The 25,022-nt window shown below is 40.5% G+C and overlaps 1 protein-coding gene and 1 long non-coding RNA gene across 4 annotated transcripts in view; one reads left to right on the top strand and one right to left on the bottom strand.

Annotated features, from left to right (window-relative positions):
• The window catches only part of LIX1 (limb and CNS expressed 1), a 50,745-nt gene extending 30,132 nt beyond the window's left edge, over nt 1–20,613 (top strand). The window contains exons 3-6 of the mRNA NM_153234.5: nt 4,980–5,120; nt 7,195–7,290; nt 15,593–15,670; nt 17,445–20,613. Coding sequence (NP_694966.3) covers nt 4,980–5,120; nt 7,195–7,290; nt 15,593–15,670; nt 17,445–17,732 — 603 coding nt within the window. The 3' untranslated portion in view covers nt 17,733–20,613. The remainder of the gene's footprint in view (nt 1–4,979; nt 5,121–7,194; nt 7,291–15,592; nt 15,671–17,444) is intronic.
• The window catches only part of LIX1-AS1 (LIX1 and RIOK2 antisense RNA 1), a 40,691-nt gene that overhangs the window by 1,936 nt on the left and 13,733 nt on the right, over nt 1–25,022 (bottom strand). Inside the window, exons 3-7 of one of the 3 annotated variants that reach the window (NR_187470.1) lie at nt 23,724–23,780; nt 23,276–23,337; nt 13,507–13,543; nt 10,348–10,721; nt 9,386–9,454 (exon numbers count right to left, since the gene is read on the bottom strand). This is a non-coding gene — a long non-coding RNA (LIX1 and RIOK2 antisense RNA 1). Of the gene's footprint in view, nt 1–9,081; nt 9,455–10,347; nt 10,722–13,506; nt 13,544–23,275; nt 23,338–23,723; nt 23,781–25,022 lie in introns of those variants that run through there. The other 2 variants (NR_187472.1, NR_187471.1) reach the window with 2 other exon arrangements.

The following is a 25,022-nucleotide window of genomic DNA, read 5'->3' as shown; positions in this document are numbered from 1 at the left end:
AAGAATGAACTGTATAACCTGGGAAGTCTAACTCTAGCAGGAAGTTACTTTGAAATAACATCATACTTCACTCGCTCCCCAACCGATGTCTTTGACGACTGGTTTGGACACATCCATAAAATGTCCTGTCACTTACCATATTTTATTTTCTTACAGTGTTTCCCACTGTTTGATAGTAACTTTAACAGTGCCTGTTCTTACAGCAACATTCACATTCTGATTTAGATTGCAACCAAGCAGATTGCCGTTTGGCTAAATTTCTTCCCCCAGTAAAGATTCTTATGGGCTGAGAGGTCCCATTAAAAGATCCCTAGAGAAAAATATGCAGCCCTTACTGGCTGAGATTTGTAGTTCTAGAATTTAGAAGAAAGCGGCTGGTTAACATTATAGACATTTTGAAGTACTTGTCTTTCAGAAATGCCAAGAACAATAGCAAGAAAAGCCCTTTGATGGCTCAGAATTTATTTTATTTTATGTACTTATTAATTGGAACACTTTCTCCCCCGTTTTAAGCAAAGATTCTGTACATTGAAATAATAAAATGAGCATAGACATGTGTCTGCTTTAAAATCTTGGTATTGGTTAGGTCTCTGTAGTCCTTTTTCATGCTTTCTGGGTAAAGGCTCTTTCTGTTCTCTCAGCCGGGCTGCACTTTGATCTCCCGAGCAGTGCCATTTGGTTGTAAACGTATGTGGTGCTTTTGATCTAGTACTTAACTGGTCTTATTTAAAATAGATAGCTTCTTTTATCTAACTAGTGTTTACTAGGTCTCTCTCTCCATAAAAGATGGTTTAAATTGCTATTATTTAGATAGAAGTTGTTTCTGAAGAGTGCCTGGATCTGAATCTAATTCTCTAAATTCTAAAACTCCAACAGCTCTATGATAGATTTTGTAAAGCTAAATTCCTATTAAAATGAGCTGTTCCTACAGATGTCAGGTAATACTTGCAAAAACGTTGTTTGCTTTTTAATGGGGAACTGATTTTCCAAAGAATAATAAACATACCCTACGCTCAGGCAAAAATGGTCATCTCAAAGTGTCTGACTGCAATGACCAATTATCCATCTGAAATTCATTAATATATTTTTATATGACTAAGTTACACATACCATAGACGGTTTATTGAAATTGCGCTCATTTAAAAAAAATAAAAAGTATATATCTTTCATTCTTTTCTTTACGAGGATCTCTTGAACATTATGTCTAGTGCTTCAGTGACTTGTTTTTTAGTTTCCTAGGCTGTATTGTTGCTTATTCAGCAAACTAGGTCACAGGAGGCGGGAGACAACTAAGTCATAGGCTCTGCCTTTAGGGAGCTCACAGCCAGGAGACGGTGGGAGCAGAGCATTAGCAAACAGTTACACTGCAGTGTGGTCAGTGCCTCCCTTGGACAGTAGTCCTCCAAGCCTAGACTTGAGAGTGGTCAAGGAAAGCTTCCTAAAAGAGATGGCACTCAAGCTTCAGTGAAAGATTGGTGACTCAATGTCCTATAAATTTTCAGCCAAGCCCATAACACAAAGCCAATCTACCTTGTCAAACCCATTCTGGTTTCATACAAGTTGCCTAAAACTTAGAAGAGGTCTAAACCTTGAATGGCCTTGCTGTCTAAAGCTTCCCCCAAAGCCTTCTTGTGTGTCAACACCAAGAAAAAAGAAAAAAAAAACTACTTTCCACACTCATTTTGGAACTTTAGCTCCATTCTTCATTCAACAGCTATATAGAAAATCACTCTTTGGGCCCAGCACTGTGGCTTATGCCTGCAATTTCAGCACTTTGGGAGGCCAAGGCGGGCGGATCACCTGAGGTTGGGAGTTCGAGACCAGCCTGACCAACATGGAGAAACCCCATCTCTACTAAACATACAAAATCAGCCAGGCGTAGTGGCACATGCCTATAATCCCAGCTACTCGGGAGGCTGAGGCAGGAGACTTGCTTGAACCCAGGAGGCGTAGGTTGCAGGCGTAGGTAGCCAAGATCACGCCATTGCACTCCAGCCTGGGCAACAAGAGTGAAACTCCATCTCACAAAAAAAATTAAAAAAAATAAAATAAATAAATCACTCTTTATTGTAAGTTATAATATCTTCTTCTGCCTGCCCTTAATTGTTCTGCTTTGTTAGTCTCCTGGCAAATGTTGTTTGTTTGGTTGGTTTTTGTTATTTTTTAATTTGTGTTTGTTTTAATTCTCCTCAGTGTCATGTTCTTGCCATTTCAAAAGTCTTGTAATTATTTCATCAACACACTCACCATGTACAAGCATCTCCAAGTGCTGAGCCTGGCTTAGCCAGTGGAGGATGCTCAAGTAATATACAAAAACAGTATGGAGAGTCCTTAAAGAACTAATAGTAGAACTACCATTTGATCCAGCAATTCCACTACTGGGAATTTACCCAAAGAAAAAAATGTCATTATATGAAAAAGACACGTGCACACTCATGTTTATAGCAGCACAATTTGCAATTGCAAAAATATGGAACCAACCTAAGTGCCTATCAACCAATGAGCGAATAAGGAAGATGGGGTACACCATGGAATACTACTTAGCCATATAAATGAACAAAATAATGTCTTTTGCAGCAACTTGGGTGGAGCTGGAGGCCATTATTCTAAGTGGAGTAACTCAGGAATGGAAAACCAAATATTGTGTTTTCACATATAAGTGGGAGCTAAGCTATGAGGATGCAAAGGCATAAGAATAATATAATGGACTTTGGGCACTTGGGGGAGAAGATTGGGAGGGGGGTGAGGGATAAAAGACTACATATTGGATACAGAGTATACTGTTCTGGTGACAGGTGCACCAAATTCCCAGAAATCACCGCATTCCCAGAAATCACCGCAAAAGAACTTATCCACATAACCTAAAAGCACCTGTATCCCAAAAACTATTGAAATAAAAAATAAAATAAAAAAAGAAATAAATATATGAGGGGGCCAGTGGCTCACACCTGTAATCCCAGCACTTTGGGAGGCCAAGGCAGGTGGATCGCTTGAGCCCAGGAGTTTGAGACCAGCCTGGGCAATATAGTGAGACCCTGTCTCTACAAAAAATACAAAAATTAGCCAGGTATGGTGCCAAGTGCCTGTAGACCCAGCTACTCAGGAGGCTGAGGTGGGAGGATCGCTTGGGCCCAAGAAGTGGAGGTTGCAGTGAGCTAAGATTGCACCACTGCACTCCAGCCTGGGTGACAGGAGAATCAGTCTTTAAAAACAAAAGTATATGAGGGCTCCTCCCAGGCCCGGAGGCTGGGAGAAGGGGTGGGCAAGAAGTTACCCATAGTCAAGGACACGGTCTTTACAATATATAGGCACTACTGTTCTAGAAGGTTTGAGGGAAAATCACAGAGGACTTGGAAACTGGCTTCAGGGCACTCCAACTAGGTTTGTGGAGATGGGGAGGAGAGACAGGTCTCTAGAGGACACGAGAGCATAAGTCTGGAGCGTTCCCGGGACAGTGCAGAGATAGTCAACAGAGGGCAGATAGGATGGAGGTGGGGATGTTGTGAAAGCAAATGAGAGGGATTTGGCTTTCTTTGTTTGGTGGCACAGAACCCTTGCTCTGTGAAACTGTAAAATGAAGCGTGGTATTTGCTATTTTTCCTTTTCTTTCCCATCAATCACCAAGAACTACTGATTCTGAGAATCATGCATTTTGGGTAGTAGGAGCCTTGGAGATCAGACAGCCTAGCCTCCCTATTTGTCCAATGAGAAGATTAGCTCCCAAAGTTCAGGTGGTCCAGGTTTCTAAGAAGCACAGTCAGGGGTGCCCGGCCACCCCACTGACCAGGACCCAGGCCTGGACTTCTCTTGTTTCCCCCTAGGAGTCCAAGATCCTAGACACTTATCCCTGGGTTCACAGGAGCCTGTAGGAGAGAGGCCATCAACTCCTGGGCTCTCCAAAAGGTATGGGCTCCAGGGACAGTCCAGTACTTATGGGGCTTGTCCCTCTATCTGCAACCCCAGGAACGATGCCAAACCAGAACTTGAAAAATGGGAGTTGTTAGTTGTTCAGAGGCAGGGAGGACAGAAAAGAATCAGGATGCATCGACCAGATCCATATGAGCCACAGAAAGCCAGTCTAGCAGGATGGAGCACAATATTATATTTGAGAGGAGTGAATTTTTTTTATGAGTCACTAATCATAGGCTGCCTATGGCCCTAACTTCAAGAAGGTTTGAATGCAGTATGTCCCAGCAAAACCGCATGGATTGAGACCAAGGGAGAAATCCTAGTCCTCAAGAAAATCAGGGAACTGTTACTAGAAGGAAGGTGGGGGACAAATGTTGCAAATGCAAAAGCAATAGATATTGACAGCAGCACCCTTGTACTAACCTGGAGATAAAAATGTCTGGCTGGCCTGTTCTCATAAGTGCTACTGTGTGCCAGGTATTTCCAGTGCTTCATCTATATTAACCAATTGATCCTAACCTCAACCCTACTATTATTCCCATTTTATAGAGGAGGAAATTGAGGTGCAGAGAGACTAATGAACCTACTCAAGGTCTTATAGTTAGTAAATGCCAGAGCTGAAAGCAGTCTGACTCTAGAATTTGTGTTCTTAATTATTGTTACAAGTATTTCCAGATTCCTTGCTTTTCTCCTTTCCTTACATTTTTTTTCTGAAATAGGGATTTGAGGAAGGCCCTGATAATGAATATAAATTATCTAGCACACAATAATAGCCATTATTAATTTATCATTACTCATTAATAGAGTATGCAAAGCTTCTGACATATAGTAGACATTCAATGACTATAAAATAAGACAATAAGTAATTGAAGATCAACCAAGACATTTGCACGAACTCTAGAGCTGAAGGAAAATCTGCGTGACCTTCAGGGAAATTAGCAATGTATATGAACAGAATAGATGCGGACAGTAAATGTATAAATAGAAATGTCCAGAGACCCATTGATGCAGGAGTGGAATGGTGAAATGCTAAATTCTCAAATGACTCCTTTTCTCCCTCCCTTCTCAAGTGCTGCTTAAGTAGAGCCGAGGCCAGGCGGGATGCAGCTAAAGTGGCCCTGATCAACTCCCTCTTCAATGAGCTGCCCTCTCGCAGGATCACCAAGGAATTCATTATGGAAAGTGTTCAGGAAGCAGTAGCCTCCACCAGCGTGAGTACCCACCATGGAGGGCAGGAGATGGCTGCACTGAGAATTCTGAAGCATTTGAATCTTGAGAGATGTTAACATGAGCAAATTCTTATTTTAAGAATTCTGTAGATTCAATTTTTACCCACTGAATTGTTAATTTTCAGAAAACAGAATACTTAAATTGGAAATCATAATATCACACATCTCAATAATATTTTTTAATCTCTCTGATCACAATTAATCATGTTTTAAATCAAGGTAGATCATTGGATCCACCTGGATATGTTTAAGTGAATGTTTACTTATTGAGGAGTGTTGATTCTTTTAGGGCCTGAGAACGCATACAGTGGAATACTGCTTTAATCTAGTGGAAAACGAGCTCCATTTTCCCCGAACTTGAAAGATCATGAAAATCATCTGAAGTGTTTACTGGAAGTGCGAATTCCCCAGCCAGTGTGGGGCCCTGCAATCTGCATTTTTAAGGAAACATGGACTGTTTAGACATGTGAAAAACCGTATGCCCAATATGTGTTAGCTATTAGAATTACCATGGTTAATATCAATTACCTCTTCAGAGAGCATTGAAAATTTCTGTAATTAACACAATTAAATGCAAAGTGCTTTAAGAGCAAAACACCCTGTCTTAAAAATTAGATAGGATTTTTTTTTAAGCAATATAAGACAGGATATTTGTCCCATGAATGATTTGGAGCTCCCAACTCCCATTGCTTCCAAACTATAAGCCAAGAAAGAAGCCTTCAGTCCCCACCTGTGGCAAGTATCGCCCTGTGTGTGCTCAAGGGCAGGAACCTGGCATTACCAAAGGGATTAGCCACCTCTGGTTTGCCTTTAGCACGGATAAACCCCACCTGAGATTTCCTTCTCTGTTTCCCTTAACTAGGAAGGCTCTGTCATTCTGGCGAAGCTGATGATGATGAAGGAAACACTATCAGACTAGATGTGACCCTTTTCCCCTCATAAATCTTCTTATCACATAAAGGAGAGATAAGGAAGGAGCAGGAGAAGAAGAGTGATTGACTTGGCTGGGAGATGCCAGGGAGTTCTGTTCTATATCTGGTCTGAGGATGAAAGGAAGCCTTTATTTTCCAGCCCTGTAAATTTCAAGTGCTTTTGAGGAAGAGAGGTTAGGAAAATTATGCCTGATTTATATAAGTGTGAAATTTACTCAGGAGCAGGGAAGGGCCCTCAGTGTAAAAGTAATTTATCATTTTTTAAATGGAAATTTCTAAGGAAACAGAATATACATGGTTGCATGCTTCTAGATGGATTTCCTCTGGGATATTTAAAAAGCCAACATAAATATTTCAGCAGCAGTGTGTTAATGTTATTGCATTCAAAAGCTATAAATTTGCTGCTATCTGTGCTGGCACTTGTTTGTTCCATCTCACAAAGTCACCATTGCCCACCTTCCCGGGAATCCGCGTCCATAGGATACGGAAGGGCTGGCCCAAAAGCCACGCCAGAGTCGTGTTAGCTTCTTAGCGCCATTCCCCACACCCAAATGGAAAGGGAATTTCATTTCTACCCATCACCCACCCACCTCGTTTCCTAGAGATTCAGTGGTACAGGACTGAAAAAATATAAACCATGATCCATGTCTCCAGGCTAAACACCAGCATATTACGAAAAGTTCCTATTAAGAATCACGGCAGTAAAAGCTGAATGGTCCATAAAACTGACAAATTCTTTCCATGTCAATTATGTAATCTTGCCTGGTTATCACTGGAATCAGAGCAAAGTCAGTGTTTCAAGATTTCAATAGCCAACGAAGGCAGTTTCGGAGCTCAGCCATGCAAATGTTAACACCACCACCACCAAAACCCTGTGCAATCGTACAGAAATGTCTTCTTTTGGAAAATTATTCTATCAGCGAGTATATAACAGTTAGTATTCTATCAAACGCTCAATTCAAATTGATGACAAAACTCTCAAATCTACTGGAGACTTGGTTGTGAACATCTGTTCAGGTTAGACCAAAAATAGGCTTACTGTGTGGTCACAGAATTAATTTGTGACCATTCAAAGAAGAGGAGGAAAAATCAGTAATTTTTCTTTTTCTGCTTTCTTTCCCAAGGGCACCTTAGATGATGCAGATGACCCCAGCACCAGTGTTGGGGCCTATCACTACATGCTGGAGTCAAACATGGGGAAGACTATGCTGGAGTTTCAGGTACCTGCCTGCCTGCCACATATTTGTTTGATTATCCAATCCAGAAGCCTAAGAGAAATGCAACATTTATCACTAACATCTCCCGACCCAATAATCTTTTGGTCTTAAGTGTTTTTGGTCATTTTAATCTAACCCTCCTGGAATCCAGCATGGTAGCCCCATCTCGGCCACACATCATAGGCGTAAACAAACACGCAATCAGGAAACAATCTTTGCTTTTATAAAAGAAAGTAAAACACAAATCTAAGAAATAAGGGATTCTGTAATGTTTCACCAGCTTTTCAGTACAAAGCTCCCCACTAAACCAATGATAACAGTTTGACATGTTGGTTGTTACCATTTGCTTCTTAATTTTCAGAAGTCCTATGACTTCTGAAAGTTCCTGCAGTGCACGTTAAACAATACCCTACTTGGGTCTGGTTTTCTATTAAACAAGTTCTGCCACTTCCTATCATCAATGAAATCAAAAAAATTAACAATCTGTAACTCTTTTTCATCCACTGCCGACAAATGATAACAAGAGTTGAGGAACTATATTACCTATTATTTCTAAAATATATTAGTAACAACAGCAGTAATAACAGCTGACATTTATGGATGCTTACTTTGGCCCGTGCTTAGCATTTAACAAATAGTGTCATAATTTAACACTCACAATAACTGTATGAGGTGGATAATATCGTTATCCTCATGTTATCATTGAAGCTAGGGTTCAGGGTCAGGCAGTCTGATCTCTGAGCTCACACATCTATTATCCTATATCAGGCTGGACAGATAGAATTTTAGTAGTGATTGGGCATGAAATGTGCTTCCCTTCAAAAAACTTAACTCCAGTGCAGTTGAACATCCATAAACATGCAATGCTGGTAGGAATCAGAATGCAATATAATAAAGAGACTTCACCTTAGAAATTGTTTTCTTAGGTTATATTCCAAGAAGCAATCAGAGGTATAAGGTTTTATGGGCAAAATGTTCCTCACGGTGTAATTTACAATGGTGAGCTGAGCCCTTCTGAAGCCACAACTTTCAAATACCTTCTTTGGTACCTTTCAAACTCCTTTCCTGACCCCAATGGCACAGCCACTTCTCAGATGGAAATGTCCCCATGCACATTATTAAAAAATAAATATTATTTTATTAGCCTTCTGTATGATTGCGGCAAAAATGCTCTTTCTTCACCCATCCTAAATCTTAGTTTTTCTTTTTTTTTTTTTTTTTCTTTTTTGAGACGGAGTCTAGCTCTGTCGCCCAGGCTGGAGTGCAGTGGCCTGATCTTGGCTCACTGCAAGCTCTGCCTCCCAGGTTCAAGCCATTCTCCTGCCTCAGCCTCCTGAGTAGCTGGGACTACAGGCGCCCACCACCATGCCCGGCTAATTTTTTGTATTTTTAGTAGAGACGGGATTTCACCGTGTTAGCCAGGATGGTCTCCATCTCCTGACCTCGTGATCTGCCCGCCTTGGCCTCCCAAAGTGCTAGGATTACAGGTGTGAGCCACCGTGCCCGGCCTTAGTCATCCAGTTTTATCCTTAAGTGGCCAAGGTCTTACTGACCTTTGACGTAGCCTGTCTTGGTTAGGAAGCAACAAAGTATCCTTTAAGCCTAGTGGATGGGGCACATGTCAGCCCAGTGGCTCTGACCCAGACTCTGCAGCGGGCTGGCCAGTTTGAGCCTGGCTCTTTTCCTTACCTCAAAATCTACTTCCTCGTTTGTATGTAAATCAGAGAGAATAACAGTACCTTCCTCACAGTGCTATTGTGAGGATTAAATGGGATGATATGCGTAGAGTCCAGAAGAGTGCATGGGGTATAATGAATGCTCAGTGAAGATGAACAACTATTATTAGATGTATTTCTGAAGGAATCTTTGCTTGAAATGCCAGAGGCTACTGGATGGATTCCGTTGACAACTCTGTCTAACCTAGCTCTATTTGAACCTACACAAAATGGTTCAGAGCCCCTATTGTAGGATAAAAGAGTCGATCTGTAAAAGGTCCTTTTTTTTTCATAACAATCTAAAACTAAACAGAGGAATAATACTTTTAAAAAGAGGTATTTTTTCAAGAGAAAGAATATAAACTTTAAAAAGTCATACAGACCTATGTGTGAAGTCTGCTCTACCACTTGCCATCTGTGAGCTTGTCCATTCTGAGACTCAGTTTTCTCATCTATAAAATAGGAATAATAATGCCCATTTTGTAGAATTTTTGCGGGATTTAAGTAGTGTAACATTTATAAAGCATCTGGCATAATGCTTCCCCTAAGCAGGAATTTCATTTAATTCCTGTTCCCCCTCCAAATAATATTGTAGTTCTTTTATTATGGAATGAACATTGCCTGCCCCAGTACACAGTAGCTTGTATGTGATTTAGCGCTATTTTTGGAAAAATTAAGAATGATTTTGAATGTGATTGGTTTAGTCTGCCAAAGATGGGGGAAGGTGAGATTTAAAAAAAAAAAAAAAGTCTTAAAATTCCTTCCAAGTACTATGAAAGGCTCTACTCAACCTTCTTTTAGTAATAGTTTAATTGCTTTGCATAGGCTATGTGTTTTCTGTGTGGTCTGTAGTAAGGTATTTAAATTTGTGAAATAATAATTTGAATCTTACTGTGGACATGCTTCATAAATTCTCCTAAAGGAGTCTGGATACAGGATGGAGACAAAGGAAGAGGAAGATGTGAGGGCAGGGAAAATCCAAACTCCCTTCCCTAGTAGGGATACTGGCAACCCAGGAGGAGGGCCTATGGAGCGCATCCCTTTTCCTTCCACCAGCCCTAGCTTGCCTGCTGGGACCTGGCACATTCCTTAGTGGCCTGGGTTAAATGCTTCTGCTTGTGTCTACACATAATGGGAATTGCCCACAGACCTGGGCTGTTTCTGCAGCCAACACAGCAATTCAGTACCCCTGGTGGGTAATAGATGTGTGTTTGTATCTAGCTATGGATGACTCTACCATATAAAAACAAGCTGGTGTCTCCAGACTGCCCTCGGGCTTTCGGGGCGGGGTGGGGGGGCGTCCTGCAGCCAGCACTCAGAGGAAACATGATAGGCCTCTGCTTACCTTCACTTCGTGGGAGGGAAGCCTGGATGCCTGTTTCGAGGTAGCTTTGCCACAGAGAAAATTGCCTGCTGTTGGTGGGGAAGGTTCGGAGCAGCACTAGTCACTGGGTCTTGTCAGGGTCAGATTCTAGGCAGACTTTGACTGAAGCTGGTTAATATATTTATTCTGAAGCCTAATGCAATCCAAGGAAGAGTTGTTTATTTACATCTTTGCTAAATTTTCCAGGTCGCCTTTTAAAACTTCATCCCATAAACAAATTTCCTCTTAAATCCATTCTCTTGGGTGGGGAGATGGTGCCCACCTCTTTTTCAAGTTCTCCATTTACAGTGTTTGTTTTTCTTATTTCTGATGAATCACAGAGCCAAACCCGTCTCCTAGAAAGAGTTCCAAAGAGAAGCAGTGAGCATTTTCTCTCCACAAGTAGCTGAAAAGCCCAACATTGTTTCTAACAGAGGCAACCCCAGGAAAGGCTGTGAGGACAGAGCCCCGTTGTTGTCTGTTTACATGAAATGAATGACAAAATAAACCAGGAAAGCTGTAGAGTGAGAGCTGCAACTGAAATTTTCCCCGAAGAGGAAAGAAAACACACAGCTTGATTCTTCGTTCTATATTAAATTTACTCCGCTGGTCAGGACCAGCTAGATAATTTGCCAGGCCCAGTGCAAAATGAAAATCCAGGGGCCCTTGTTCAAAAATTACCAAGAATTTCAAGATAGCAGAGCACTAAACAAAGCAGGGGCCCTGTACAGCTGCACAGACCTCATGCCCATGAAGCTGGGCTTGCCCCTGAGACAGAGCCACAAGAAGGGGACAGACAAGGGCTAGGCAAGTGACACATTTCTCTTGGGTACAAAATTGAAAGGGATGCTTAAAAACTTCATAATCAAGATAAATAATATTATAATGCATTATTTTTTAAACTCAAAATTCATGCCAAAAATTCACGATAAACAAAATATCAGAATTATAAATAAAAGACCATGAACATGTATAATTGGCCCCACTCACTTTAAACCTTGCCTCACCTGCCTCACCTGCCTCACCTGCCTCACCTTATGAGGCTAACTTGTTTTTCTGTTGGTGCAGCTGGGCCCCTCAGGCTTCCAGATTACCCCACAAACAAAACACCACACCCCAAAAGACTTCCGTGAGGACTATGACAGACCCTCACAGGAAAAGACAACACTAATTTCCTTTATTTAAAAAAAAATTTATATATATTCTTTTTTTTTTTTTTTTCTGAGACAGAGGTCTTACTATTTCGCCCAGGCTGGGCACAAACTCATGATCTTCCTGCCTCAGCCTCCCAAGTAGCTGGGACATTCCACAGCACCTGACTACACTAACTTCCTTTAGAGTAACAGAGCTTCTCCAGGTAGAATATGAGCCAGCGAACACCAGGCAGCAAAGAATCATGGGGAAACTAGTAAGCAGAACTCCACAGCAGCCCTCTCCTTCCCACTCTGCAATCATGCAAGGATTTCCAATGGAATCAGTCAGAGGCATGCAAAGATTTCCTGGAGTTGAGCCAAGAGCTAATAGTTTTGGGAAAATGTGAAGAGAGTGAATTTGGTCTTATGAGGGGAAATAAAGAAGTGAGACAAAAAATATGTGAAAATATTTAAATATACTTTATATAATGATGGCAAGATGAATATCTCTACAGAGGACAAAAACTAGATGGGGATATAATGTAAGAAGTTGGAAAGGAGGTCATCTTCCCTAGGGAATGTTAAGAACAAAAGCAACACTGAGGAAGTGGCAGTTGTGTTACTGGAGAGAAAAAAAAAGCTGCTTCGTGATGGGATAGAAATTTAGACAAACCAGAGGTGGTGAGGAGGTTGACCTTCATCCTGGAGACGAAAGCAGTTCAAGTCTCTTTGGGGACATTTTTGAAAGATGAAGGTTGTCAAGGGGCATGAGAAAGGGTTTTGGTTCTGTTCACAGAAGAGTTGTGAATTCTAAAGTCTTAGGAGATTTTCAGGGTGGAATGATAGTCCCTTATGGGGCGGGGAGAGCAGTTAGTGTATAGATAAGAAAAAGAGCCCAGAAGACCCCAGAGGAAGAATAGTATGTTTCTAAGTCAACAGTTATCAGAGGATGGAATTAAGAGCCCTGTTAGCAATAGGCTGTTTCTCAAACTGGGCCACAAGGATGCAAGAACAATGCCAAGATAGATAGCTATAGGAAGCCACAAAATAAATCCAGTATATGTGTCTGAGTTCTCAACTTTACATAAAGATTTAGGGTTGTGGGGGTCAAACGGAGGAGTGGAGTGATATTTATTTTCTTTTTTGTGATGGAGTCTCACTCACTTGCCGAGGCTGGAGTGTGGTATCGCGATCGCAGCTGACTGTACTCTCCGCCTCCCAGGTTCAAACAATTTTCCTGCCTCAGCCTCCCGAGTAGCTGGGATTACAGGTACCCACCACCACACCTGGCTAATTTTTTTATTTTTAGTAGAAACAGGTTTTCACCATTTTGCCCAGGCTGGTCTCCATCTCCTGACCTCAAGTGATCCACCTGCCGCAGCCTCCCAAGTGCTGGGATTATAGGCACAAGCCACCACACCTGGCCAATATTTATTTTCTCTTTTCTAAAAATGGACATACACAATAGAATGCAAAATTTGAGTGGATCTTTATAAGACATAAAACCAAAAAATTTTTCTTATTTACAAATATTGGCCCTCCTGTTACATCATAGAGACTGGTTCCCAAATATTAAAACAATCTTCCCATTCATTTTTATGGCTTCAAAGTATTCGGTGAGTTGGTTTGTTAGTATGGTAGGAAGGGCAACACAAATTTGCCCTTCTCAGCCACTGGGGCCACTTTGATGGAAAGCCTGAGAGGAACAGCAGTGACAGCCAGATTGGACGAGATTTGGTTTCTCGAACAAAGCACTCCCACTTTTTCAAATTAGCATACTGACGTGATGAAGTGAAAGTCTGAACAAGGGCAGGAAGATGTGGAGGAGAGGGGCCAGGAGGGGACAGCCATCCCTGGGCACTGGACCGAGGACCCTGTGCAGACAGGGAGGTCTCCATCTGGGGGCGGGCAGAAGGAGCAGCTCAGCTGGTATTCATGTGTGTTTTAATTAGCAGACACAAGTGGTTTTGCTTTTACTGAGGTGTCTGTGGGCTCTCAGAGTACTTACTGTGCAGTGAACTTAGACAGAATGCCAAACTGGATCTCTGACAGAAAAGAAGAAAAACATTTCATTCCAATGGCAATTTTAGACATGAGAGAAGTGCTATTTGCTCTTCTAATAATCTGATAGCTTTAAAATTTACCAAATAATTTTAAGATGCCTAAAACCTGACTATGAGTCTCCTGATTTTCATAAGAGAACCTCTTCCCAAGCAAGCAGATGTAAAGACAGTTAATTGAAGTCAGCTTTTTTGTTTTGTTTTAAGAGATAAAATATTATGTTGCCCAGACTGGTCTCAAACTCTTGGGCTCAATCAATTCTCCTGCCTCAGCCTCCCAAGTTGCTAGAACTATAGGCACACACCACCGTGCCCAGCTAAAAGCTTTTTTGAATGGACAGTAGGACATCTGTCTATGTTAAGTTTTCATAACTATTTTTTAAGACATGAAAGTTCCTTGATCATATAGAGTTATTTTTCAATAATTTCAATAACCACAGGCTATTAATCCACAATAGATGTATCTCTGACCAAAAAAAACTATAACTGAAATGCAAATAATTTCAGTGGAAAACTTCTAATTGTAACCGCATTAGGAAAATGAAAATCTTCAGTAAACTTATACACCTTAGCTTGCCTTTGATACCACAAAAGGCAAGGAAATGATGGTGCTGATAGTCTGAATGCTGTGCTCAGCCCTGGCTCTTGGATTTGGAAACCATGGGTGAGTTTGAATGTCAATACAACCTTATTGTCTATATTTCAAGGCATTTTTCTTGACTGAATTTATAAATTTAGGAGTATTGAGCAGTTTCTGTAGTTTGTTCATTATATGCTTTATATTGTCAAAAGACAAAATTACAATAAATTTAGTTTAACGATCTAGCTGACTTTTACTTGCAATTTTAGAATTGCATAACACCTCCTTCCGTAAAACAGAATGAGCGTTCCGATGAGCTGAGCAGAGGAAGTTGGCTTTAGGCAGAAAAGGGCTGAAGAAGGTAGAAACAGAGGACAAAAATGGATTGGTCATTTCATAGTTACTTCTCTTGTAAAGATTAAAGCAGAGGGGACTTCTTTATTATGCCGGCTAAAACTGGCTTGTTTGGGGATTTGGCTGTTATCTCTCTCTTTGTCCTGATTTCTAGGAAGCTCAGATAAACAGCTTAGTTTCAGCACGGCAATCTAGAACTTCAGCATGAGTGACTCCATTTTGATTTGATCTATTAAGCCTAATGCAGTAGCTCTGTCCAAACTAATGGCGTCCTATAAATGCTATTTAACTATATTTGTATATTTATTTTTTGGCTTAAAATTTTTAGAGTTAAATGGTTTTAAGATATAACATAGTCACATGATTCAAAACTCAGTAAGTTTTGCAAAATAATGTCACAAGAAGGTCTCCCTCCTACTCCTGTCCCCCAGGCATTCCTCTGGCATTCCAGAGACAGCTAAAGTTACCAGATCCTTTTGTATCTTACTAGAACTCTTCTAGGCATTTACAAGCAAACATGTATATAGCGATCTTCTTAAGCAAATAGTAGCACACATTACACACTGTTGTGTACCTTGTTTTATTTTAACACATCATAGAATTCTTTCTATTTAAACTTATGGAACGTTCTCATCCTTTCTTTATGATTGCAAAGTGTTCAGTAGTATGGATATATCATACTTTAGCCATTCCTCTAAAAGTGACCATTTAAGATGCTGTCAGTCTCGAGCAATTTTAAAAAATGATACAATGTAAAACCTTGCCTATACACTATTTCTCAGATATCCTGGTATATTTAAATAACTTCTTGTGTGTAGAACTCTTCAGTGTATTATTTTTAATGCTGAAAGACATTTGTCAAGTATTTAGTCATTTCATTACACAAGTAATGTAATGTAATGCTATGGATATAGCAAAGGAGGAAGAGAAGAATGTTCCAGAAGCCCTGGGACCCTGGGCTTGGGAAAGTCCCAAAGTGTTGTGACAATATTGTGTATTCTGTTTCCTGATATATTTGGGAATTAGAGTTATGCCCTGCTCAGCTCTCACCAATGCACATTTCTGCTTTGGGACCAATGATAGGTGTTTGGGTTTTGTAGGAGCTGATGACCATTTTCCAACTATTGCACTGGAATGGAAGCCTAAAAGCCCTTCGTGAAACAAAGTGTTCCCGACAGGTAAGATTTTCTAATCAAGTCTAAGTCTGTGTTATATGAACTCAGCAGGTGGCTTATCATCTTCCCAGGAGATTTCCTTTATTCGGATTTTTCCAAATATAAATTTGGTACCTTATTTATTAAGAGCAGAGGACACACAAAGAAATATATAGAACAGCCCCATTGAGTCAGGGACTGACAAATATACACACTAAAAAGAACGTGGGCACAGGACTGATTTAGATACCTGTACCGAATGCAAACCGAAAGGATCATAAAGGCAGACAGCTTCTAAATAAATCCTGGATCTACTCCATACACCTCCCCTGCCTCCTTGGAATGTGTGCCCTCTTGTACCTTCTGAGGCAGAAACTTGAAAATGCACTGCTTCTGAAACCTCGTCACTGGAGAGTGGCCAAGTTGGTGGTAGGAGAAGAGTATTTCCCATTCCTGCCAAAAGTCCCCAATAAACAACAGAAATGATTATAAAGTCTGACAAGCCGGCATTTAATCACTCCCATTTTTTTGGTTTAGAAGTTTCTTCTTTGTTTTTCAGAGACACGGTCTCACTATTTCTTTGTTATTTATGAGAAGCACCCTTCCCCCTTTTTTAATAGCTAATGTGAACCCCCTCCTGTGTATTTAATGGTTTTCACCTGTTGTTCTCCAAGATTTATCCTTCCTCTACCCACCGTTAGAATGTGAAAGATGGTAGTTTATTTCTGAGAATTTCCTAATAGGAATTTGTATGAGGAAGAAAGCCTCTGGGAGTCAGCAAGGTAAGGGTGGGTATAAGGAGCTTTCCATGCACTGCAGCCCCCTAGTTTTTAGTTGTTCTTTGCTTAGAAAGTCTAGGTTTCAGATGTCAAAGATGGAAAAGAAATGAGTAGCTGACAATGGCTTTGGTTTTGTTTTTTTTCCTTTTCCTTTGATTTTACAAAAGGCCTTTGAAATATGCTGGTTGGGTTATAAACACTTTTCCATGATTGTTTTTAATTTGTTAAGGTCATAAATGCATACCATATGTTCTTGAAAATAAAAATAAGCAGTGCATTCACTCCACATGATCAACTCTACATATGATGTTATTATGTATCGACAAATTTTTCACACAAGAATTGACAGGCAGTAACTAATTTTTAATTGTTTGTAAAAGTAAAAGACAATGTACCATGAAGGAATCATTATGATATCAATAATGGAGATGTCTACCTTCCATTATACATCTAAACTCCCTTCTGTATTTACTGTGGGACAGTTGGACCATCTCCCTTGTGCTAATACCACAGTTGATTCTCCTGGTTTCTAAATGATACTCTGAGATGCCCTTAACTAAGAGCTTCCTGCTTTCTTCAGTGGATTTGACCAAACCCCATTCTGCCCAAGACCCTCTGTAGTGCTACTTCCCTCTCTTTATCTTTCCAAAGGAAATAATGCTGGGCAACAGGGTTCAATGAATAAATGAGGTCATATTCACACCAATTGTTGTAGGAATGTATTTTCAGTGAACGGCTTGTATTTCTAGAGATGGCAGAGCTATGTTTGGTGAACATTATTGAGTCATTCCTGGTGGTGTGTTTTGACTCAACCTGGAGTGGTGTGCTTTGCTAGGCCAACTTAGCCTTTCATTTCCTTTATAGAAGTAAACCAGTGGGTTTTGGTTTCAGTTTTTGAACATGAGAGAGATGGGGTTGTTGATAAAACCCTAATGGATGTGGGAAGCAGGGGGAGGCATGTGGACGGGTGCCTTTGTTGCTTTTTATTGACACCCTGGACTTTGTTTCTTGGCCCCCAGGAAGTCATCTCCTACTATTCTCAGTATTCTCTAGATGAAAAGATGCGCAGCCACATGGCCCTGGACTGGATCATGAAGGAGCGGGACTCACCAGGAATTGTCTCTCAAGAGCTACGAATGGCCCTGAGGCAGTTGGAGGAAGCCAGGAAAGCAGGACAAGAACTACGGTTTTACAAAGAAAAGAAAGAAATATTGAGCTTAGCCCTGACTCAGATCTGCAGTGACCCTGACACTTCCTCACCCAGTGATGATCAGCTGAGCCTTACGGCCCTGTGTGGCTATCACTAGCAAGGCCAAGCCCCGGGTACCCTCAGTGATGGCAGAGGCCAGATTAACATTAGGAATCTCAGTGCAGAGGTCCTCAGAGGCTCCAGCATCTCTAGTACTACCTGAAGGCTCTCCTAACCCTCTCCACACATTCCATTTACAGAGTATGAGAGTCGTAGGACCCTTACAAGACCCAACAAGCCACTCGATGCATTTTTCTATCACATTCTCAATAGTTCCAGCTCAGGATGAAAGGATAGACACAAAATTGTTTGAAAAACATTTTCCAGGCCTGGCTCCAACCTAAAGCCTGACTGTCACGTGCCTTGCTTGATTTTATATATATTGTTTCAAGAATAGTCCAATATAGCATTCCCCAAATGAACAGCAGCCAGAATTAGGTGAAGTAGCATGATAGCAGTGTTTAAAAATACTTAGGATTAAATAAATAATATGGATTGTTTTAAAAAATATCCAAGGATCAGAGTCTCTTTCTAAGCTTTGTAAGCTAAGCAATAGTTTATGTCCTACTAGATACACTGCAAACTACAGTGGGGATTTTATCTGGACATCCCACCATCAAAGATCTTGAAATAGTAATAGTATGAAAATACTAGATAAAATTAATGTTTAAAATGTTTTTGTAACAATAATTTTTAAAACCCACACTCTTCCATATATGGGGATAAATATCACCTAGAAAAGTAGCCTCACTCTTATTCCTCAAGAATTAATATCCAATGTTTATGAGTCTTGCAATCAATTTTGTTCATTTTTAATTTGCAAATCGATAACCTGAACTAATTTGTTCTTATTTTTTGCCACTGCAAACATATATCTACAGAGAGAAAAATTAATGGCATTTTAAAGGTTAAAACATTTTGAAAAATTATTAGCATGTAACAAAGAATGCTTGCATTTGATTAGTTTCACCAGCATTTGAGAGAAGGACCCTTTAGCTCTGTTTGTTGTTCAAGAACATAAGCAACCAGTAGCTCAAATGTAGTATCATTATTAAGTTTAAGTCACTGGAATCTTCTTTAAAGGAAGGATAAGACATTGCCATCTCTATTTAACTCATCCATATGGGTCAATCAACTGATTAGAAAATCAAAAAACAATAAAAACTTTTTTTTTTTTTTTTTTTTTAGTAGAGACGGGATTTCATCATGTTGCCCAGGCTGGTCTTGAACTCCTGGGCTCAAGCCATCTGCCTGCCTCCACCTCCCAAAATGCTGAGATTACAGGTGTGAGCCACCATGCCTGGCCTAAACTAATTTTTAGATAGTTCCTGGTCACTCAAATTTAAGAATGTCAGCAATGTCAATTTTAAATGCTCATAGGTCTTTCCATATCTGTAACATGAAAATGATTATTCTGCATTTTATTCAGTAGTCCAAATTAAAGAAAATGTTTTTCTCAATTTAAAATAATTTCTTTTTCTTTTGTTTATGCAAGTGCATACATGCTTCACTGAAAGCAAAACCATTATAATTACATTAAAGTTTATAAAATATGATATTTTAACCTCATATCTAATAAGTATGTACAAAGGTAACCATCACTCCTTAAATCCACATGAAAACTACTGTAACTGATCATGTATTTTGGAATTAGACTTGATAATAAAAGATTATCATGTATCACATATCTCACACCAGGGGAACAATTAGCTACATAATTGTCATACCTTAATATCTTTTAAAGGTAACAGTAATTTTCAACACATTTTATTTTAAAATATTATTTTAACAAAAGTTACATTCCTCTCCACAATGAGGCTAAATGTCACCCACGAAAGAACTTTATTCCCTTATATTCCTGAAAAGAAATCAGAATTAACATTTTTATGTTGAATAAATTTTAAAATTTAGGAAATGTTCTATTTAAAGTTAATTTCTTTCATAAAGCCATTACTCTTTACATTGTCATTTCCAAAAAGCCACAATTTCCCATGCTGGATGTGATGAAAGTTAGGCACACCTTTACTGCATTAGCAGCCTTTGACAATGACTTCCTCAAACTGACACCATCTTAATTAGATGCAGGGACAGGGATCAGATGGGACAATATCAAATTTACTTTGTGCCCTACAAGTTAAAAACTGCACCCATTCTGTAAATTGAATATAGAGGTTCTCCCTTGGCCACTGTCAGCTTTTCTTGACTGGCCAAAACTGCCCATTCTTCCTGGAATGGTATGAAAGCTTCAGCAAAATAAATAAAAGTCAGAATCTTTGCTGGTCCCTTTAATGCTGATTTGATAGTAAATCAATTTCAGCTGAGACATAAGGGCTGTCAGTCTATCATATAAACATCTTTAACTATAGCCTAGAGAAAAGAGGGTTGAAGAGCAAAGCAGATTTTTTTTTTCCTTTTCTATATCTTGTTCTGAACAACACACTGTGATAAAGGGGACTAGAGTGGAAGATTCCCTATTTAAACACATGAAGCTCTGGGTCCTAGCCTTTTTTGGTTATAAGCCCTTTGAGAATCTGATAAAAGCTGTGGATCATCTCCTAGGAAAATAGAACAAAACATACATATTCACATTACACAGTTCCAGAGTATGTGGACCCCCCAAAGTCCAGAGATTGCCCTAGGGGATCTTTAGATTCTTGTTTAGAACTGTTGATTTTGAACACAACATACACTGTCAAACTTTACATCAGGGATCCAACATAACTCAGACATAGCCCAGGTAGCCTGTTTCTAACACAACTGTCATAATCCTGAAATCCAAAATTGCACTGTGTTTGACATGAGATAGTTTAAGTTCCACAAAATCCAAATTTACCATATTATTGTTTTTAAAAAAGCAGTTTAGAGCAAACTGTCACTAAACTTGGATAAATGGGTCAGAAAGTACAGATTTAATAAAGTCGTACCTCTAATGTTCAGAATTTGGTTGTCTATTTGTTCAAAAGCTATAGCTCACTCCTATTTTTGCTATTAAATTTATTTACCTATTTCTAGAAAAGGAAAAGAATTAAACCATAGATATTCCTGAAATGCTATACCTATATCAACTATGAATCTGATCAGTTAAGTCTCAGGAAAAACAGAATCAAAAGCATAAAGGTTTAACACTTTTCTGTTTCTTTAGAGAAAGTTTTCAAAGCCAGAGGCATTGTTGCAGTTGATTTTATCTCTAGCCGAGATGCTTTAGAGAATTCTGAGTTTTATCATGCCACGCCTTTCTTTTTATCCAAAGGACGAAAGAAGCCGGACTAAGAATATTTTTATGCTATATTCGAAGGTAAACATTAGTTAAGATGTTATCTCATATATTGTTGATTTTTTTTTTGTTTTGACTTACAGAAATGCAAATATCAAGATTTATTCTATACTGTCCATCCTTAAAGGCTAACATTAAGATTGTTTTTAAGCAAGGCTCTAGGAAAATGAAAATCCTTCTCCTTATAACAGTGGTTCTCAATTTTGGCTGCACATTAGAAATACCCAAGGAACTTTAAAAAACCCTAAATGTCCAGACTGTACCCAAACCAATGAAATCAGACTCTGGGAGTGGAGCACAGGCATCAGTATTTTCTAAAACTCCCCAGGCAGTTCTAGCACGCAGAAGGTTGATAACCACCGCTCTCTCCAGAAGTACTGGCTCAGAGGTCTATGCCTAACCAGTGGGAACTATTACTCCACTTGACCTTGGCCTCAAACTCAAATGTGGAGCTCTTCTGAGCCGCATAGGAGCACATTTTTTTGCTTGGATAAGAGGTCTCTCCTGGAACCCAGGACTAAACCAGGGCAAGAACATACACATGTGCATACATGTACAAACACCCCTCATCTGAGCAGGAGAGCCAGATTCTGCCCCAGGGTACAAGCTCTCTTTCTCAAATATAATAGATAACTATCTGCACCAGAATCATATAGGTTACTTGTTTAAAAATACAGCTTCCTAGGCTGCACCTTAGACCTTGCAACCAAATTCCAGGAGAGGGTCTGGATTATGTACCACTTCACCAGGTGTTTCTGATCACACTTCAGCTTGAGATCTTCTGGGACAAAGCTACCTAACACATCCTTTACTGGGCAGCAGAGCCCTGGCTTCTACAGAGAGAGCACAGAAAGGAATAAAGGAGTGTGTGAAAGGTTGCCTCTCCACCCCTCCTGGAAGCTAGGGAGAAGAAGGGGCAAAAAGATGTGTTGCATTTACCTCCCAAATGAGCAGCACGTGCTCTTTGATCACTTTGGCCCCAACATTTGGTATTACTTTTAATCCCTTTCCTAGAAACCATAAAAATATCTATCAGCTCATGGTTAAAGTCACTTTTTAAAATCTAACTAAGTCCCGGTAACACTTTCCTCTTTGGAGCAAGGTAGGTGGTGAAAAAGGCAAGCAGAAGCTTCTTTTGAGAGCTATTGATTCTCTAGTGTTGTTCGTTCCCAAGCAAAAGTCCCAGATTGCCACCTATTTATAGGCACTTCCCAATTCTATCCCCAACTGGGCTCCACAAGTCCATTTGTAAGTCAGTTAGTTCAACTGTGAGGATAATACATTTTTCTATAGGATCAAGGTCATAAATGGTGGTAAGTTTCCCAGACTAGCCTATACAGGTTGTGAGTGGGCAGAGGAAGGTACCACAAGGAGCAGCTGTGAGTCTAGGGCATCATATGGAAACACCTCCCTGGAGCGTAATTCTCAGTTTCAGACTGGTTCTCCAGACACTCCCTTTATTTTCTCTTTGTCCCCTCATAGATTTGCTTGCCAACGCCCCACCCATTCCCATGACCTATTGCCTTTTTTGATCATGGCTTCTTCTACTTTTGACTTGCTAAGGAAGAGATGATTTTTTTTTTCCTGCGTTTCCTACAAAACTTTTGAAAGTGTCTGAGTTAGTACCACTAGAAACAGCAACATTCGGGTGACATGAAAATGGCAGCCACTAAGCCTCTTCTCAGAGCCTATTTTCACCAGGGCCTGCAGGGAAAGACAGGAGCACACAAGGCAAAACTGTGTGGGACAGGCCACCCAAGGAGCCTGACCCAGTCACCCAGACCTCTAAGGTTCCTGCTTCTCTGTTGTTGGCTTCACGTGATGTTGCCCCATCCTGATCACAGCTAGCTACCCCATAGGCCAGCCAGTGATTCTGGGTAATCTGGCTCAAAACCACAAACTGGACCAATCAGTCTGTCCTCTCAGGGATGTGAACTAAAAATCACAGAAGGAATTGGCCAGTTGGAGTTGGGAGCTGAAGTGGGAACAGTCTGTCCATGAGAGCTGTGGTCTCTGCAGGTGGAAGGGATGAAGAAGCAGGAACCATGAGTCAGCAAGGGAAGCTGATCAGTAGAAGGGGGAGAAGTTGCTTGGTGTAGAGAGCAGATGCAGAGAGAGGCAGAGACAGGAGATGATGAGGCCCAGGAGGGCATGATGATGATGAGGAATCGCTGGCCTATGTGCCCTGCAATAACCTTTCCTTGGTTGCAAGGATCACATACCTCACAACCAGAGAAATCTCACTGTATTAGCCCATTTTCACGCTGCTGATAAAGACATAGCTGAAACTAGGCAATTTACAAAAGAAAGAGGTTTAATGGACTTACCGTTTCACGTGGCTGGAGAGGTCTCACAATCACGGTGGAAGGCAAGGAGGAACAAGTCACATCTTACATAGATGGTAGCAGGAAAAGAGAAAGAGCTTGTGCAGAGAAACTTCCATTTTTAAAACCGTCAGCTCTTGGGAGACTTATTCACTATCACAAGAACAGCAGGGGAAAGACCTGCCCCCATGATTCAATTATCTCCCACAGGGTCCCTCCCACAACACAGGGGAATTATGGGAGCTACAAGATAAGAATTGGGTGGGGACACAGAGCCAAACCATATCATCCACCTTACTCATTTCAGAGCAAAGCCCCATTTTATTATTCCAGTCTTTTCAACCTAAGAAAAGACCAAAAAAGCTGACACGAGGAGGACCTTCTTCAAGCAACAGAAATGCTGCTGAGAAAACTAGAGTTAGGACTGGTGCAGGGTTAACTTTCTCCTCACCTGCTGCCCCTTCACTCCAATGTTAGGTGTCACGCTGGTCAGGAGTCCTCCCCAGCTCTGAAATAAACACATGTATTATGTGCTAACCATACTGTCCTTGCTCCATACATAGAAATTCCTGTTTACTCACGTTCCACAGGAGATCTGACTACAGGAGGAAAACATAACTCTATTTTTACAGAGATAGAATTCATAGCCTCAACTATTTGTTGTCTTCTTCAAAAACTAATCATCTTGGGAAATAAATAACATGTTCTGACCACACTCAAGAGTGCTGTCTTTGCCAAAGACATTCCTGTCACTAACTCCTCCTTGAGAATGGCCCCCTGAGTCTGCATGAGCAAAGGAAGAAAAGCAGTCTCTTCTAGGCTGAAACACCTCAGCATCCTGAATGGACTAGTTCATTGCAGCATCTCGACTATTAGGCCCAGCACTTAGCAGGTGCTCAGTGTTGAGTAGAAATTTGTCATAAACGTCTTGATACCTTCCTTCTTCTCTTCTTGAGAAAGAACCTTACCTGGCTCCATTCTGCTGGTTTAGTCAGGACTCACTTGGTTGCAAGATTGAAGCCCAAATCAACCTACTAGGCAAATAGGGAGGTTACTGGCTCATGATACAAAAGAGTCCCAGCAGAGTTTCTGCTCCAGGTATATCTGGATCAAGGTGCAGAAATCAAGACTTAGTCTCATTATGTGGATATACACACATGTGCACGCTCTCATCGCTCAGGTCTTAAATCTGCTTCCTTTTATGTTGGCTCCATTTTTAAGCAGGCTCTTTGTAGCAGCAAGTGGAAGCCAGTAGCTTCATGCTTATATCATAGCAGAGTGAGAAATTCTCCTCCCAACAGTTAAAATCCAAGTACCAGAACTAAATGCCAGCATGCCGTTTCAGTCATGTGTCCATCCCTGAATCAATGACTATGGCCAGGCTCGTCACATGTCTGTGCTCTGGAACTGGTGGTCAAGTCAGCCTACCTAAACAACTTAGACCTGGTTGAGGAGTAGTCATTCAAGAAAGCCATGGGTTCAATTGCCAGGGGAAAATGTGGCCATTTCCCAAGAGATATTAAAAGCTATTTTCTCCTCGAGAGCCTTCAAAGACAGAATGAACGACAGAAGAAATACAGCCTCTCCAACCACAAGTTTGGACAGAGGCTTCTGGGTAGACAAAAACAACAGATGTATACTGTGAATACATTGTATCATTTCCAACAATCTAATCCATCCTCAAAGGACACACTTTGTCACCACTAACAGTGTCCAAAAGCACTTTCTGTCCAGAGGGCATCCAAAAATG

This window comes from Homo sapiens, chromosome 5 (assembly GCF_000001405.40).
Source record: "Homo sapiens chromosome 5, GRCh38.p14 Primary Assembly".
Classification (NCBI taxonomy): domain Eukaryota; kingdom Metazoa; phylum Chordata; class Mammalia; order Primates; family Hominidae; genus Homo; species Homo sapiens.
Note: the sequence above shows the minus strand (reverse complement) of the source record. Positions and strands in the feature narration are given on the sequence as shown.